Source organism: Homo sapiens, chromosome 16, assembly GCF_000001405.40.
Source record: "Homo sapiens chromosome 16, GRCh38.p14 Primary Assembly".
Lineage (NCBI taxonomy): Eukaryota > Metazoa > Chordata > Mammalia > Primates > Hominidae > Homo > Homo sapiens.
In genome coordinates this window covers 81,211,282-81,228,135 of record NC_000016.10, presented here as the reverse complement: position 1 = coordinate 81,228,135, position 16,854 = coordinate 81,211,282, and the positions used below count along the sequence as shown (strand labels likewise).

Sequence of the window (16,854 nt, the reverse complement as noted above, 5' to 3'; positions counted from 1 at the left end):
AAAACCTTTGCTACTGAACAAAAGACCATAAATTATGCCATCAATATTTAAGAAGATTCATTAATTCTACAACATTCTACAGAGCAGTTAAGACTAGTGTCATGTGGAGTATTGGAGACAGAAAACTGGAGAATCGTTATCTCCTGACCTAAATGAGTTCAAAGTCTAACAAGGAAGATAAGAAGGCAAGGAACAATTATAAGTGCTATAATTTATATAGCACTAATATCCCATGCGTAGAAGGAAGAATTGATAAGATTGAAATACAGAAGGCATTGCTGATAAATAAATGCATAAAAAATAAGTTATCCTGATGCCTGAGCTGGAAAACCAAATTTCCACCATCTATGTAATTAGGGTTCAATCAAGGATGCTTGACAAAAATTCAATTTAAAAAATAACTATCAAGGCTGGGTGCAGTGACTCATGGCTTTAATCCCAGCATTCTGTGAGGCTGAGGCAAGAGGATTGCTTGAGCCCAGGAGTTCAAGATTAGCCTGGGCAATATACCAAGACCCCCATCTCTATAAAAACTTAAAAAAAAAAAAATTCGCTGGGGCTGGCCGGGCGCAGTGGCTCATGCCTGTAATCCCAGCACTTTGGGAGGCCGAGGCAGGTGGATCATGAGGTCAGAAGATCAAGACCATCCTGGCTAACACGGTGAAACCCTGTCTCTACTAAAACTACAAAAAATTAGCGAGGTGTGGTGGCGGGCACCTGTAGTTCCCAGCAACTCGGGAGGCTGAGGCAGGAGAATGGCGTGAACCCAGGAGGAGGAGCTTTCAGTGAGCCGAGATCTCGCCACTTCACTCCAGCCTGGGCGACAGAGTGAGACTCCGTCTCAAAAAAAAAAAAAAAAATTAGCTGGGGCCAGGCGTGGTGGCTCATACCTGTAATCCCAGCACTTTGGGAGGCAGAAGTGGATGGATCACTTGAGGCCAGGAGTTTTGGCCAGCATGGTGAAACCCCACCTCTATAAAAAATGCAAAAATTAGCCAGGGATGGTGGTGTGCACCTATAGTACCAGCTACTTGGGAAGCTGAGTCAGAGACTCCCGTCTCTAAAAAATAAATTTTTAAAAATTAGCTTGGCTTGGTGGCACATACCTATAGTCCCAGCTACTCAGGAGGCTGAGGCGGGTGGGTCAATTGAATCCAGGAGTTTGAGGCTGTGGTATGCTGTGATCATGACACTGCCCTCCAGCTTGGGTGTCAGTGTGAGACCCCATCTCTACAATAAATAAATCAATAAATAATAAATCAATAAATAATCAAGAGCTCATCATTCCAAAGACTGAGGTTGTTATCAGTTGCTCAAAGATGGTCTCCAAGTACAGAATTGAAGCCATCAGGGAAGCAGTCAGGACCCCAGGACCCCACTTGGCTGTGCGAGGGTACGTCCTGGGATTTGATCTACCAGTCTTAGTCTTCAGGTGGGATCGGTCACATGAGCAACGGAAAGATAATTAATTTGGTTTAAATAGGGCATTGAGTCTACAACAAGAATCATGAAGATATTCACCCCTGTGGTCCAGGTGCCCTCGTCCTGGGAATATGTCTGTCTAGGCTTGGGTTCCCCCAGAAGTAGGATTCAAGAGCAAGAAATTTATTTGGGAGGTTGTGATGGTTAATTTTACGTGTCAACTTGACTGGGCTAAGGGATTCCCCAGAGAGCTGGTAAAACAGTATGTCTGAATGTGTCTGTGAGGTTGTTTCCAGAAAAGACTGGCATTTGGATCAGTGTACTGAGTAAGGCACACCCACCCTCCCCAGTGTGGATGGGCATCATGGAGGACCTGAGTAGAACAAAAAATGAGCTGGGATATCCGTTTCTCCTGCCTTTGGACATCAGAGCTCCTGGTTCCTGGGCCTTTAGACTTGGAGAGGGTTAGACCAGTGGCTTTCGTGGTTCTCCAGGTTGCAGACAACAGATTATGGACTTCTTAGCTTCCATGATCATAATGATTCTCCTGCCTCATTCTCCCACGTGGCTGGGATTACAGGGGCATGCAACCACACCGAACTAATTTTTGTATTTTTTGTAGAGAAGGGATTTCGCTATGTAGACCAGGATGGTCTTAAACTCCTGGTCTCAAGTGATCCACCTGACTCGGCCTCCCAAAGTGCTGGGATTACAGGCATCAGGCATGAGCCACTGTGTCTGGCCTATTTGGTTCCTTTTTTTTTTTTTTTTAGACAGTTTTTGCTCTCGTCGCCCAGGCTGGAGTCTAATGACGCAATCTTGGCTCACTGAAACCTTTGGCTCACTAAAACCTCCACCTCCCAGGTTCAAGCAATTCTTCTACCTCAGCCTCCTGAGTAATGGGATTACAGGCACACACCACCATGCCCTGCTAATTTTTGTATTTTTGTAGATATGGGGTTTCACCATTTTGGTCAGGCTGGTTCCAAACTCCTGACCTCAGGTGATCCACCTGCCTCGGCCTCCCAAAGTGCTGGGATTACACGTGTGAGCCACCGTGCCTGGCTCTGGTTTTTTTTTTTTTTTTTTTTTTTTGCTTTATTTATTGATTTTCTTTTTTTATTATTATAATATCCATCTATCTATTCATCTGTCTATGTGTCTACGTATCTATGCATCTATCTATCTATCTGTGTCTATTGATCTGTCTATCTCCTATTGATTCTGTTTCTCTGGAGAAGCCTAAGATTTGAACCTAGGAAATAACAGCAGGGGAATGAGGACCTAAGATAAAGGAGGAGAAAAGATGTTAACAATACATTCTCAAGCCTATCACCATCATGAGCAACTGAAACTCAGTCTGGCTGGGGATCTCCTGGAGCCGGTGGGAACACGCCTCAGAGTTATCTTCAGGAGTCAGGGCATTGATTCACCAATTCTGCTCAGTCAAGGTTGAGAGTTTCTCCTGAGAGGTGCTAACTTCCAGGCACTTCCATCCTGTCGCACATATGCAGAGGGAGGCAGAGCCACAGATGTCTGCATGGCAGGTGTGTGGGTTAGGGTGAGCACTGATAGTGTCTGCTACAATCCTCAAGAGATAACTCAGCCCAGGCTAAAGCATGCATGCAAGAAGATGTTCAAAGTTGTGTTGAGAAATGAGAAACAGATGACTAAAATCCACATGACCTGTCCAGCAATATGGGACTGATTTAGCAATGTCCATTTAGTAAAAGGAGGCTCTGCCACCACCATGTCAATTTCAAAGCCCATTAGCAACATGGAAAAGCCTTCCTGTCTAATGCTAAGCAGGAAATGCTTATGAACTAATCACAGACACTACAGTAGTGCCTGGGAAAACACCTGTCTTCAAGGGAACAAGGTGTATGAAGGAACCCTGAAGAAATGAAAATGTGTTAGGGTAATGGGACCATGGGAATTCTTCTGCTGTGTTCTCTTTACGATCTAAAGGAGAACCAAGATTAAATATGACTGATAAAGCCGCCAATTCCTATAGAGAAATATACTCCTCTTCCCCGGCCAGGGCTTCCTAGATTCCCCCCCAAATAGACTCCTTGAGGCCAGGTGCAATGGCTCACACCTGTAATCCCAGCACTTTGGGAGACCGAGGAGGGCGGATCATTTGAGCCCAGGAGTTCAAGACCAGCCTGGCTAACATGGTGAAACTCCATCTCTGCTAAAAATACAAAAATTAGCCGGATGTGATGGCGTGTGCCTGTAATTCCAGCTACTCAGGAGGATGAGGTAGGATAACTGCTTGAACCCGGGAGACGGAGGCTGTAATGAGCCGAGACGGCGACACTGCAATCCAGCCTGGGTGACAAAGTGAGACTGTCTCAAAAAAAAAAAACAAAACCCGAAAACAAAAAGCAAATAGACTCCTTGCTCTTAATCTTGGTCTCAGTTGGCTTCTGGGGGACTCAAAGTAAGATGGGAATATTCCCCAGACTGGAATAACTGGAATAACAGGGCATAACTATCTTTATGGTTCTTTTTATGGACTCAATGCCTTATTTTCATTTTTTATCTTTTGAGATGGAGTTTCGCTCTTGTTGCCCAGGCTGGAGTGCAATGGTGCGATCTTGGCTCACCCCAACCTCTGCTTCCCTGGTTCAAGCAATTCTGCCTCAGCGTCCCCAGTAGCTGGGATTTCAGGCATCTGCCACCATGCCTGGCTAATTTTGTATTTTTAGCAGAGTTGGGGTTTCTTTACGTTGGTCAGGCTGAGTCTCGAACTCCTGACCTCAGGTGATCCACCTGTCTCAGCCTCCCAAAGTGCTGGGATTACAGGCGTGAGCCTCTGTGCCTGGCCTCAATGCCTTATTTAAACCAAACTTGCTGTCTTTCTGTTTTCATATTGCTGATCCCACTTGGAGGCTCAGACAGCTGGATCAGATCACTGGAAATAATGCTCACAGGGTCCAGCCATGTCCTGACTACTTTCAGTGGAGCTTCATGCACACAGAGGTTAAGGGACATTGGGAGCTGATGTCAACAAGAAGAACACTGTGCCCAGGAGTCTGCAATTTATCAGAATGTAAAGAATGTGAACATGGAATTTAGCCTGCAGATTTGCATTTGTTATCAAATGTCCCCAAGCAACTTCCATTAGGGACATAAATTAAGCCTTTACCCTTTCTATTATCACTGCGTGTGACTTTCCACAGAGTTTTCGAAGGAAAGTTATTAGAAGGTTGACCTCTAGAGATAACAGGCCTGTTCTGCTCAGCCTGTGTCCTAGCCTGAGTCAGCAACGATCCTGCATCCTATCCTGGGCTCTAGCCCTTTCCCATTCTCTGTCTGGCAGGGTCACTCCAGAAGGATTGCAGTGGTTTCTAGGAAAATGACAGAGGCAACAGGGTAATCTCCAGGGAACTGGGAGATGGGGCCAGGCTGGCAAATATTCCTTGAGTCTTATTATGAGCCAGACATGGGGTAGACAGAGATTAAGAGATGTCCCTTCCCTAAGAAATTCACACAGTAAAACAACCCAAATGTCTATCAACCGATAATAGATAAAATGTGGTTTATCCATAGGATGGGATATAATTCAGCCATAAAAAGGAGTGAAGTACATGCTACAACGTGGATGAACCTTGAAAACATGATGCTAAGTGAAAGTAGCCAAACACAAAAGTCCACGTATTGTATGACTCCATTTAGGTGAAACATCCAGAATAGGCAAATCCATAGAGTCAGAAAATAGATTAGAGATACAAAAATCAGCTGGGCGTGGTGGCACGCGCCTGTAATCTCAGCTACTCGGGAGGCTGAGGCTCGAGAATCACTTGAACCCAGGAGGTGGAGGTTGCAGTGAACCAAGATCGAGCCACTGCACTCCAGCCTGCATGACAGAGCACGACTCCGCCTCAAAAAAAAAAAAAAAAAAAAAAAAAAAAAAAGATTAGAGGTTGCCACGTGATAGAGGAGGGGCAATGGGGAAAGAGAAAGAGTGACTTATGTCAGAGCAAGTTAACGGTCTAAAGCCAAATATTAGACAACTGCATTCTCTAATGTCTCTGGCTGGAGGAATTATATACCTTACACCTTTTCTGAACACTCCAGGGTCTCACCACATTGCAAGTCTCCCTCTGTAACCTCAGATTACTAATTTCTTATGCAGACCACATCATCCAACTATGGGCTTTTATTTTTATTTTTTTGAGACAGAGTCTCATTCTGTCGCCCAGGTTGGAGTGCAGTGGTGTGATCTCGGCTCACTGCAACCTCCGCCTCCCAGGTTCAAGTGATTCTCCTGCCTCAGCCTCCTGAGTAGCTGGGATCACAGGCACATGCAACCACGCCTGGTTAATTTTTTGTATTTTTAGTAGAGATGGGGTTTTGCCACGTTGGCCAAGCTGGTCTCCAACTCCTGACCTCAGGGTGATCCGCCCGCCTCGGCCTCCCAACGTTTTGGGATTATAGGTGTGAGTCATCTCGTCCAGCTCTTGTATGTGTTTTGTTGTTGTTGTTTTGTTTTTGTTTTTGTTTTTGTTTTTTTGAGACTGAGTTTCACTCTTGTTGCCCAGGCTGGAGTGCAATGGCGTGATCTCAGCTCACTGCAACCTCTGCCTCCCAGGCTCAAACAATTCTCCTGCCTCAGCTTCCCAAGTAGCTGGCATTACAGGCATGCACAACCATGCCTGGCTAATTTTTTTCTGTTTTGAGTAGAGACCAGGTTTCACCATGTTGGCCAAGCTGGTTTTGAATTCCTGAGCTCAAGCGATCCACCCACCTCGGCCTCCCAAAGTGCTGGGATCACAGGCGTGAGCCAACGCGCCCGGCCTCTTGTATGTTTCTTATGAGCTATATTATACACATACAAATAAATATTTAGATATGTTTTTATGCAAATGGGACTGAATTATATACAATATCTCATACTTAGCTTTTAATATTAACAAAAATCTCACCAGGTACATTGGCTCACATCTGTAATCCTAGCACTTTGGGAGGCTGAGGTGGGTGGATTGCCTTAGTTCAGGAGTTCGAGGCCATCCTGGGCAACTTGGTGAAAGCCCATCTCTACTAAAATACAAAAAATTAGCAGGGCGTGGTGGTGCCTGCCTGTAGTCCCAGCTACCCGGGAGGCTGAGACGCGAGAATTGCTTGAACCCAGGAGGTGGAGGCTGCAGTGAGCTGAGATTGCGCCACTGTACTCCAGCCTGGGCGACAGAGCGAGACTCTGTGTCTCAAAACAAACAAATAAAAAACAAAAACCTTAGGGATCCTTCCAAATTTGCAGAGGAAGAATTTGTTCATTTTAAAAGTGGTTATATATGATAGACCATGTTTTGTGAACCCGTTTCCTATCAATGGACATTTAGGTTGTTTCCAATTTTTCCTTCTTAACAAATTCTGCCAAGAATAATCTTATTCATATGGCATTTCACACATGTATGAATTTACCTGTTGGTGTAATTCCTAGATGTGTAATTGCTACATTATAGAGTTTGTGCTTTTAAAATTTTTATGGATATTATCACATTGCCCACAATAGAGGTTGTACCAATTTACCACCAGCAAGCAGAGAGACAGCTTGTTTCTCCACATTTGGGAGGATGTGTTTGGAAATACTCTCGGAGGCCAGACCATACAAAGCCTTGTATACAAAGCTAGGAAATTTGAACTTGATCCATGGACCATGGAAACCCACGGGAAGGTGTAAGTAGTGGATAAGGATGGTCAGTTCTGAGCTTATGACATCCAATAAATTTTTTAGGGGATTTTTATTCTCCAGCAGGTATGGGTGATGAATAATGTGGTGAATCAGAGAGGGGACCAAATATCTATTAGGATTTCAGCCACGCTGGGGAGAGAATGGGTATCATTTGGGCACAGCTGCCGCTCGGCACAATGGGCTTGGATATAAAAGCAACTTGGTTTCTTTACCGTCTTCCTGCCTTCCTGCCATTCTCCAACCTTCCTCCCATTTTTCTTTTATCACACACTTCCCACATGCTGATGGCTTTGCACGAAACATACAGCCCTCAGGGTAATGACATAAAACCAATAGCAAGGACTTTTTATCCACCGCTAACAGTTGACTGAAAGATAAGCAGACAGGTGATATAGCAACTTTATCTTTCCCGAGAAGACCATCTGACAAATTAATAGGCTTTGGAGCAGGCGTGGAACAAAGAGCTGGGTGACGCAAAAACGCAGACACTGTCAAGCTGAGCCTTTTGTTTCTTCAACAAAAGGTAGCTGCCATTATGTGATGCAAAGACAGAAGGGAAGATGGATGACGGGTGGATGTGAGGGCACCCGCATATGAAAGTCCCAAGAGCGAGCTCCATCCAGAGGCCCCAGCAGTGGTTCAAGCATGAGTGCAGTGGGCTTGGTACTCCTGGTGCTTGCTCTGAGGCTTAGGGCCACCACTGTTAAGCCAGAGGAAGGCAGCTTTTGCTCTAACAGCCAGGTGGCCTTCAGAGATGCTTGCTATGAATTTGTGCCACTCGGACGCACCTTCCGTGATGCCCAGAGCTGGTGCGAGGGGCAAGGAGGCCATTTGGTCTTCATTCAGGACGAAGGCACCCAGTGGTTTCTGCAGAAGCACATCTCCCAGGACAGGGAATGGTGGATTGGACTCACGTGGAACTTGGCACGGAATGGAACCACGGAGGGTAGGTGCCGTGATCGCTGTTTTATGAGAAACTTGTGTTTGCAATTCTTGCCATCACTTCTCACCCAAAGAAACATGGAACAAATTAATACGACCTAATTCTCATGGTATGGATACCCTTCCCTTTGGTTGTGTTGTGGATTAAATAATTCATGTCTAATGCCTAGCACAGAATCTGGCACATCAAATTCTGACCCTCTAGAAATGTTCGCTTCTTTGCCTGTTCCTAATAGTAATACTCTGACTGCTTTGATTCTTGCTAGGATAGTGCCAGGCACTATCCTGAGTGCTTCGTTGTCACTATCATGTTGAATTCTTACAATAACAATGAGAAAAATCATGTCCCCATTTTTTATTTATTTATTTATTTATTTATTTATTTATTTTTGAGACAGAGTCTCTCTCTGTTGCCCAGGCTGGAGTGCAGTGGCACGATCGCGGCTCACTGCAACCTCTGCCTCCCTGGTTCAAGTGATTCTTCTGCCTCAGCCTCCCAAGTAGCTGGGATTACAGGCAGATGCCACTATGCTCGGCTAATTTTTTGTATTTTGAATAGAGACGGGGTTTCACCGTGTTAGCCAAGATGGTCTCGATCTCCTGACCTTGTGATCCGCCTGCCTTGGCCTCCCAAAGTGCTGGGATTACAGGTGGTAGCCACTGCGCCCGGCCTTATGTCCCCATTTTACAGATGAGAAAACTGAGTCTCAGAAAATAATGACTAAGCTATTTTTTAAAGTGTCCCACTTGTCTTTCCCCACTTGCTCTGACATTAAAGCAGACCAAGTGCTTAGCATAGTTCCATTCACAGTCTAATTTTAATGGTCCTGAAAGTCTTAGTCCTCCTTTATTCTCTGAAGGCTCCTTCCCCCACCCAGTGCAGTCAGGTGAGTCGTTCTCTACGAGCCTGCAGGGCCCTGTTCACACTTCCAAGGCAGTACTTTTGCTGTGGCTTAAACAGCTAAGTTGTCTGTCTCCCTCCTAGACTACAAGCCCTTCAAGGAAAGAACCATACCCTGGCCATTTTTGTTTTCCCAGTGCCTAGACACAATTGAGAATGGACAAGGAGGCTGGGCGTGGTGGGTCACGCTTGTAATCCCAGCACTTTGGGAGGCCGAGGCAGGTGGATCACTCAAGGTCAGGAGTTCGAGATCAGACTGGCCAACATGGTGAAACCTCATCTCTACTAAACATAGAAAAATTAGCTGGGCATGGTAGCACGCACCTGTAATCCCAGCTACTCAGGAGGCTGAGGCAGGAGAATCCCTTCAACCCAGGAGACAGAGGTTCCAGTGAGCCAAGATTGTGCCATTGCACTCCAGCCTGGACAACACAGAGAGAAACTGTCTCAAAAAAAAAAAAAAAAAAAAAAAGAGAGAGAGAGAATGGACAAGAAAACATTTGCATTTAAGCCTCACACGGATCCCATGAGGTAAGCGTGGCTACTCTCCTTTCACGGAGGAGGAAAATGAAGTCTAGAGAGAAAAGACGTGCTCAACATGACATAGCTGGTGGTGCACAGTGGGGTCTCTACCAGTCAGAGCAATGCTAAGCCTGACTTTCCTACTGGGCACCTTGGTACCCAGAGGTTCTCTTTGCCCCTGTAGAAGCTACTGGGTTTGAGAAATGAGACATGGCCTGTGCCGAACAGCCACAGAACAACACCAGCGTGGATGGAAGTGTTTTAATAAATGAGCTACCGGGAAGCTCATTTAAGAAAACCCACAGCCAAGGGGATTTGAATTCTTAAGACGCCCCTGCAGACAATGTCTCCTGAATGGTTTCTTGAGGTGTAGATGCAACAATTGCCGATTTCTGTGTATTGAACATCCTTTCACATCCAGCTAGAGGAGGTGTGCCTATTAACACCTCTCCAGGGATACCGTGTGGCTGTTGCAGAAAATGAGGTAGTTCTAACTAGGCTGATAGGCAACAACCTCCAATATTTAATGTCATTTAAGAAGCAAGGGCCAGATACTGTGTGCAATCACATGACATTTATGTAAGTAGATTTCAGGCACTCATAGATGCTGATGTGTGGATACAATTCAATTCATCCTGGAATCATTTATGAGAAACATAACAATGATGGAGAAGCCCATAGCTTGGAGAGGGAAGATACTTTCATTTTAGACCCTTTGGATTTTTTAAAACCATTTCATTTGCATGAGTCTCTTTCAATAAATTAATAATTACGTTTCTGAGTACCCATAATAAATGTTTGTTTTTTGAGACAATCTCACTCTGTTTCCCAGGCTGGAGTGCAGTGGCGGCACCATCTTGGCTCACTGCGACCTCTGCCTCCCGGGTTCAAGTGATTCCCCTGCCTCAGCCTCCCTAGTAGCTGGAATTATGGCTAATTTTTGTAATTCTAATAGAGACAGGGTTTCACCATGTTGGCCAGTCTGGTCTTGAACTCCTGGCCTCAAGTGATCCATCCACCTTGGCCTCCCAAAGTGCTGGGATTCCAGGCGTGAGCCACCATGCCCAATCCATAGTAAATTTTGATATTTAGTGTTTTCTAGCTCTCTGGTGTCCTCGACATGGTTCTGTTTTACACACACACACACACACACATAAACACACACACACTCCTTTTAAAGAGTTACATCAGTATTTTCAAGGATCTGAAGAGGCCCAAAGTAACAATAACTGCTCATGTTTTAACTCAGCACTGCCCAGGTGTACTTGGCAAGGGACACAGCTTATGAAGAAGATGATATGTTAAAACATCCCTTAGCCCACTTCTGGACTTTATTATTATTATTATTATTATTATTATTATTATTATTATTTTGAGACAGGGTCTTGCTCTGTCTCCCAGGCCAGAATATAGGGGCACGATCATGGCTCACTGTAGCCCCAACCTCAGCTCAAGCAATCCTCCCAACTCAGCCTCCCGAGTAGCTGGGACCACAGGCAGCATGCCTGACTAAATTTTTTTTTTTTTTTTTTTGTAGAGACAAGGTCTCTCTAGGTTGCCCAGGCTGGTCTTAAACTCCTGGGTGCAAGTGATCCTCCCACCTCCACAATGTTAGGATCACAAGCATGAACCACTGGGCCTGGCCCCTGGCTCTTCCTTAGACTGTGCTCAGGGCCAGGTGTGGTGGCTCATGCCTGCAATTCCAGAACTTTGGGAGACTGAGGTGGGTGGAGTTTGAGCTCAGGAGTTGGAGGCCAGCCTGGGCAACAAGACAAAATCCCTGTCTCTGCCAGAAATACAAAAAAATCAGCCAGGCATAGCGGCTTGCACCTGTGGTCTCAGCTACTCAGGAGGCTAAGCTGGGAGGATCACTTGAGCCTGGGAGGTGGAGCTTGTAGCGAGCTGAAATGGCACCACTGCACTCCAACCTGGGTGACAGAGCAAGACCCCATCTCAAAATAAATAAATTATTGATTATGGTTAGACAGAGCTGGCAGCCTCATTTATTTAATCAAAGCACCTTTTGCAAGCTCTCCAATTTGGTGTTCCAGTTCTTACATTGAGTGTTTGATGATGACAGTGAGGAAGAGAACTTTATTGGTCCTGGAGAGAGAGGTCTCCATCCCATCAACATTAATTGCTGACCTGCTGCCCAGCAGCGGCAGAGCAGGCGTGAGTCCTGCATTTGTATAAATGGAGTTTGAAGACAGTTACTGAGTCCTGGTGGTCGTGTTGCCCTTCCAGGGCCGGGGACTTGGTTGGACACCTCCAATGTGACCTACAGCAACTGGCATGGAGGGCAGGCCGCCGCTGCCCCTGACACCTGCGGCCACATCGGGAGAGGCCCTTCCTCTGAGTGGGTGACCTCGGACTGCGCCCAGACCTTCGCCTTCATGTGCGAGTTCCGTGAGTGGCCCGTGCCCCTGAGTTCCCATCTCCCACCCTGTCTCCCTGCCTGCCTGCAGGCCTCTCTCCAGGCTCGCCTCTCCCTCCTGTTCCTGCCTCCATCTCTCTGACCTTCTCTTTCTCTTGCCGCCTCCCCTGTCTCAGTTTTCTCTGGGTCTTTCTTCCCCTTCTGTTTTTCTCTAACTCTTTCTCTTTCTCTCCCTTGGTCTCTGACTCTCTTCCTGCCTCTGTGGTCTCTCTGTCTCCCTCTCGCTCTTCAGGGCCTGCCGGTTTCTGTCCCCATCTCCCTGCTGAAGAGCTGACCTGTGTGTGTTTTTCTGACCTTACCTCTGTCCGCAGCTTTCTCTCCCTGTCTCTATGCATCTCTCTCTGCCCACGTGATGCTCCGTCACTCATCCCTGCCCTGTCCCCATCCACCTGCCCACCTTCCTGCCTGCCCACCTGTCTCATCTCTGTTTCTGTCTTTCCCGCTTTTTTTTTTTTTTTTTTCTGAGATGGAGTCTTGCTCTGTCACTGAGGCTGGAGTGGTGTGATCTTGGCTCACTGCAACCTCCGCTTCCCAGGTTCAAGTGATTCTCCTGTCTCAACCTCCCGAGTAGCTGGGATTACAGGTGCGAGCCACCATCCCCAGATAATTTTTGTATTTTTTTTAATAGAGACGGGGTTTCACCATGTTGGCCAGGCTGGTCTCGAACTCCTGACCTCAAGTGGTCCGCCCGTCTCGGCCTCCCAAAGTGCTGAGATTACAGGGGTGAGCCACGGAGCCCGGCCTGCATGAGGTTTAGTATGAGAGTGGGGGCACAGAGAAGCTAACTAACTTGCTGAAGGTCACACAGCAGCAGTGTGTGGCTGGGCTGGATCTGATCCCAGGGAACCTGGCTCAGCACAATGCTGCCGACAATCATATTCAATTTATCACCCCTGCCAAGCGGCTCCTATCGGGTTCTTGCATCTCAGCCCAACCCCCGGGACCCTCCTCTTCCCGTGAACCGGCACTCACCTGTCTGTAACCGTGAGCCCCCCTAATGTCTTGCCTTCCCTTTGCCTCAGGGGTTGGCCAGAGCCTGGCCTGCGAGGGACTCAATGCCACCGTGCACTGTGGCTTGGGGCAGGTCATCCAGGTCCAGGATGCCGTCTACGGGCGCCAGAATCCCCATTTCTGCACCCAGGATGCCGGGCGTCCTTCAGATCTGGAGCAGGGATGCAGCTGGGCCAACGTCAAGGAGGAGGTGGCAGGTAGGGCCCAAGGGCTCTGCAGCTCTGGCGGCCAGCAGAGGGCAGTTGCTGGTATTCTGTGCTCAGCAAAGGGTTCCGGAAGCCTCTGATAATCTTCATCTCTGACCGTGGGCCTCCAACATGGGGGAAAACTGGCCAGTCCCTGCCCATCGCACGGAGCAAGGAAGCAGGGGGCTGTGGTCCACCCTCCCCGACATCAAACACAGCCATGGATCTGGTGGGCATGGCGTGCCTCGACCCCTGCTGGATGCAGGAAACATCACTTTTTTAACTTAATTTTTAAATTTTTGAAATACTCCAAACGTATAGACAAGAATAGAAAATACTGTAATGAACTCCCACAGATCTACTACCCACCTTCATCAGATCTGAACACCGTGCCTCATTTGCTTAAGATTCCCTCGTTAGAAAAATCAATACAGTCGGGCGTGGTGGCTCATGCCTGTAATCTCAGCACTTGGGAGGCCAAGGCAGGTGGATCACCTGAGGTCAGGAATTCCAGACCAGCCTGGCCAACATGGTGAAACCCCATCTCTACTAAAAATACAAAAATTAGCCGGGCTGGTGGCACATGCCTGTAATCCCAGGTATTTGGGAGGCTGAGGCAGGAGAATCGCTTGAGCCCTGGAGGCGGAAGTTGCAGTGAGCCGAAATCAGATCATCGCACTCCAGCCTGGGCGATGGAACAAGACTCTGTCTCAAAAAAGAAAAAAAGAAAAGAAAAAGGAAAAAGAAAAATGAATACAACACTAGGAGACTCCTGTGGATCCCTCTCTTTATTTTGAGAGAGAGTCTCACTCTTGCCCAGGCTAGAGTGCAGTGGCCCGATCTTAGCTCACTGCAATCTCTGCTTCCTGGGTTCAAGCGATTCTAATGCCTCAGCCTCCCGAGTAGCTGGGATTACAGGCAGGTGCCACCACTCCTGGCCAGTTTTTGTATTCTTAGAAGAGACGGGGTTTCACCATGTTGACCAGGCTGATCTCGAACTCCTGAGCTTAGGCCATCCGCCTGCCTCGGCCTCCCCAAATGTTGGGATTACGGGCGTGAGCCACTGCGCCTGCTTTATTTTCACCTTCTAGGCACGTATTCCTAAACACTACAGACTGTTGCTTTTGCAGGGCTTTTTTTTAAATCTATTTTTTTAATTTATTTTTTATTTATTTATTTTTGAGACGGAGTCTCAGTCTGTCACCCAGGCTGGAATGCAGTGGCACAATTTCTTTTCACTGCAACCTCTGCCTCCTGGGTTGAAGCGATTCTTGTGCCTCAGCCTCCCGAGTAGCTGGGACTACAGGCGTGCGCCACCACACCAGGTTAATTTTTTATATTTTTAGTAGAGACGGGGTTTCACCATGTTTGCCAGGCTGGTCTCGAACTCCTGACCTCAGGTGATCCGCCCACCTTGGCCTTCCTGGGATTACAAGTGTGAGCCACTGTGCCTGGCCACTTTGCAGGGTTTTAATGTTTATATAAATGGTATCATATTGTGTGTCGTTCTATAGAATGCATTTTTCTTTTCATTTTGGTTCCTGTGTTTTGCTCAACATCTTGTTTTTGAGATGTATTATCCGTCTTGATACATGTTGTGCTGGTTTATTTGTTTCATCTGTTGTGTAACTGTGCCGCCATTTGTCTCTTCTCCTGTTGAGAAAGGTTGGTTCTTAATCTCTGTGACTGTGAATAACGCTGAAGCCAAGCTCCTGATAGATGGTATCTTGTTCACGTGGGAGAGTTACTCTAGGGCTTTGTTTTTCTAAATCAGATTAAATCTACTTCTGAGTTGCGCTTGCCCAGTGACTAGGATTCAATTTCCGGGATTATGGGGGTTTCTTGCACCCTGCTAGGAGGTAAAAACTCCTCAGAGACTTCCCTGGTCCAGGACATCGGGAAACCCTCTTCTTTCTGCTGCAGTCACCACTGTCCCCGCTGGAGGGTCCAGGAAAGCAAGTGGCCTGCTGCTTCTTGGCTAAGTGAGGACACAGCCCCGTGTGGCCAGGCTGCAAGCCTCAGGTCCTGGGGGCCAGCCTCCCCAGTTGTGCCTTTTGGCACTCTCCTCTGAGCCTCTGCTTCTGCCCAAAGACCCTTTGAAGATTCAGGGAGGGACGCCAGTACTCCCAGAACTTTCTCCTGCCTCGGGGAACTGAGAATGGCTCCTCTGTCCTCCTGCCTTTTGGAGCAGGCATGGGGAAAGGAAACGCTAAAATCAGCTGGCTGGTTTTCACTGACTCTTCTTACTCCAGCGTTCCTGAGGCTGTGGCCCCTGCAAGGAGAAAGGGCCCCGGACGGGAGAATGGATGTACCTTCCTCACCAAGGCACTGCTGGGGCTTAGTGAGCTGTTTCCTCAAAGGCTCAGCTGCAAGTTCCTGAAATGTGGTACCCACAGCTCAGAGAGCACGTTAGAGGGGAGCCCTGTTGTGGGAGTCGGAGGAGGAGCGCAGAGAGGATCCCGCGGGGTCTGTATCTAAGCACCCTGGTCCCTCATTCATTCAGTTAGCCAATAAACACTTGGTTTTTTTTGGTGGTGCTTTTTTTTTTTTTTTTTTTTTTTTTTTTTTTGAGATGGAGTCTTGCTCTGTTGCCCAGGCTGGAGTGCAGTGGCACAGTCGTGGCTCACTGCAACCTCCGCCTCCCGGGCTCAAGCGATTCTCCTGCCTCAGCCACCCAAGTAGCTGGAATTAGAGGCAAGCACCCTCACACCCAGCTAATTTTTGTATTTTTTGTAGAGAAAGGGTTTCACCATGTTGCCCGGGCTGGTCTGTACCTCCTGGCCTCCAGTGATCCACCCACCTTGGCCTCTCAAAGTGCTGGAATTACCGGCATGAGCCACCGCACCTGGCCCAAGCTCTGTTTTTCAAAGAGCTTGCGGCGGAGTGGGGAGACAGTGATATACAGGCAATTAACTAATGCTGTGATAAATGCCGCAACCCAGAAGAGCAAACACTATCTATTTAGTCATGCAAAACTTATTTTGTACCTACTATGTGCCAGGTACTGTTCTATGTCCTGGAGATGTTGCAGTGAACCAAAAATTTTTAAAAACCTCCGACTTGATTTCCAACTCACTCCCAAGTGATGCCACTTAGGATCCCAAATGTCTTTGGGCCACATTCTGAGCCTCAAGGCATCTGGGGACCTGAAGGGATTTTAAATTTTGTCTGCAAGGCGTGTTAAATCCTGGAATTAGATCAGATTTAGTTTTTTTTTTTTTTTAAGTGGATTATATGTGGCTACGAAGAGTCATAGAAAAAACTCTGTCCTCAAGTTCTGGAATTAGACCTCTCTTTGAGTCTGTTTAATCTGAGAACAGAGATGTGGTGGTGGCTCGTGTTCCCTTTTGATCAGAGGGGCCCCCCAGATCACGGGGTGGAGGTGGGGCTCAGGAAAGCTTTACGGGGGCGGCATCAGGAGCCTGGCTGTGAGGGAAGTGCAGGATCCAGCCACGAGAAAGACTGGGGGACAAGGTGGTGAGGACATGAGGTGGCAGGCTCAGGTGTGGACTGCAGTATGAACCGTGATGGTGGAGAGAGAGCCCAGGATGGTCTCGCTGGGTAACAACAGTATTAGAAAAAAACCTCAGCAGGGACGTGGCCTCTGCGTCTTGAGGCAGTTTATCCATTACAAGGGGATGTTGAATATTATGCGTGGTTTAATTTGTGAGCTGGAAGGTGAGCCCTGCTGCCACCCCCAGTTTGTCTAAGCAAACTGCTTAGACCGAGTCCAAGGATG

At 47.3% G+C, this 16,854-nt stretch overlaps 1 pseudogene across 1 annotated transcript in view, besides 2 other annotated features; it reads left to right on the top strand.

Moving 5' to 3' along the window:
* Positions 6,035-6,253: a silencer, noted in NCBI's record as "fragment chr16:81255488-81255706 (GRCh37/hg19 assembly coordinates)". NCBI's record gives its function as "represses an EF-1alpha promoter that drives an FKBP-Casp9 reporter gene in an ReSE screen in K562 erythroleukemia cells {active_cell/tissue: K562}" and the evidence as "EXISTENCE:reporter gene assay evidence [ECO:0000049][PMID:32094911]".
* PKD1L2 (polycystin 1 like 2 (gene/pseudogene)) overlaps positions 7,742-16,854 on the top strand; it is a 119,520-nt pseudogene continuing 110,407 nt past the window's right edge. Inside the window, exons 1-3 of the transcript NR_126532.3 lie at positions 7,742-8,066; positions 11,730-11,891; positions 12,942-13,127. The product of NR_126532.3 is annotated as a polycystin 1 like 2 (gene/pseudogene), transcript variant 1, non-coding (transcript). The remainder of the gene's footprint in view (positions 8,067-11,729; positions 11,892-12,941; positions 13,128-16,854) is intronic.
* Positions 15,219-15,719: an enhancer, noted in NCBI's record as "H3K4me1 hESC enhancer chr16:81246022-81246522 (GRCh37/hg19 assembly coordinates)". NCBI's record gives its function as "activates a minimal SCP1, AML or CMV promoter by ChIP-STARR-seq in naive H9 embryonic stem cells {active_cell/tissue: H9 hESC(naive)}" and the evidence as "EXISTENCE:reporter gene assay evidence [ECO:0000049][PMID:30033119]".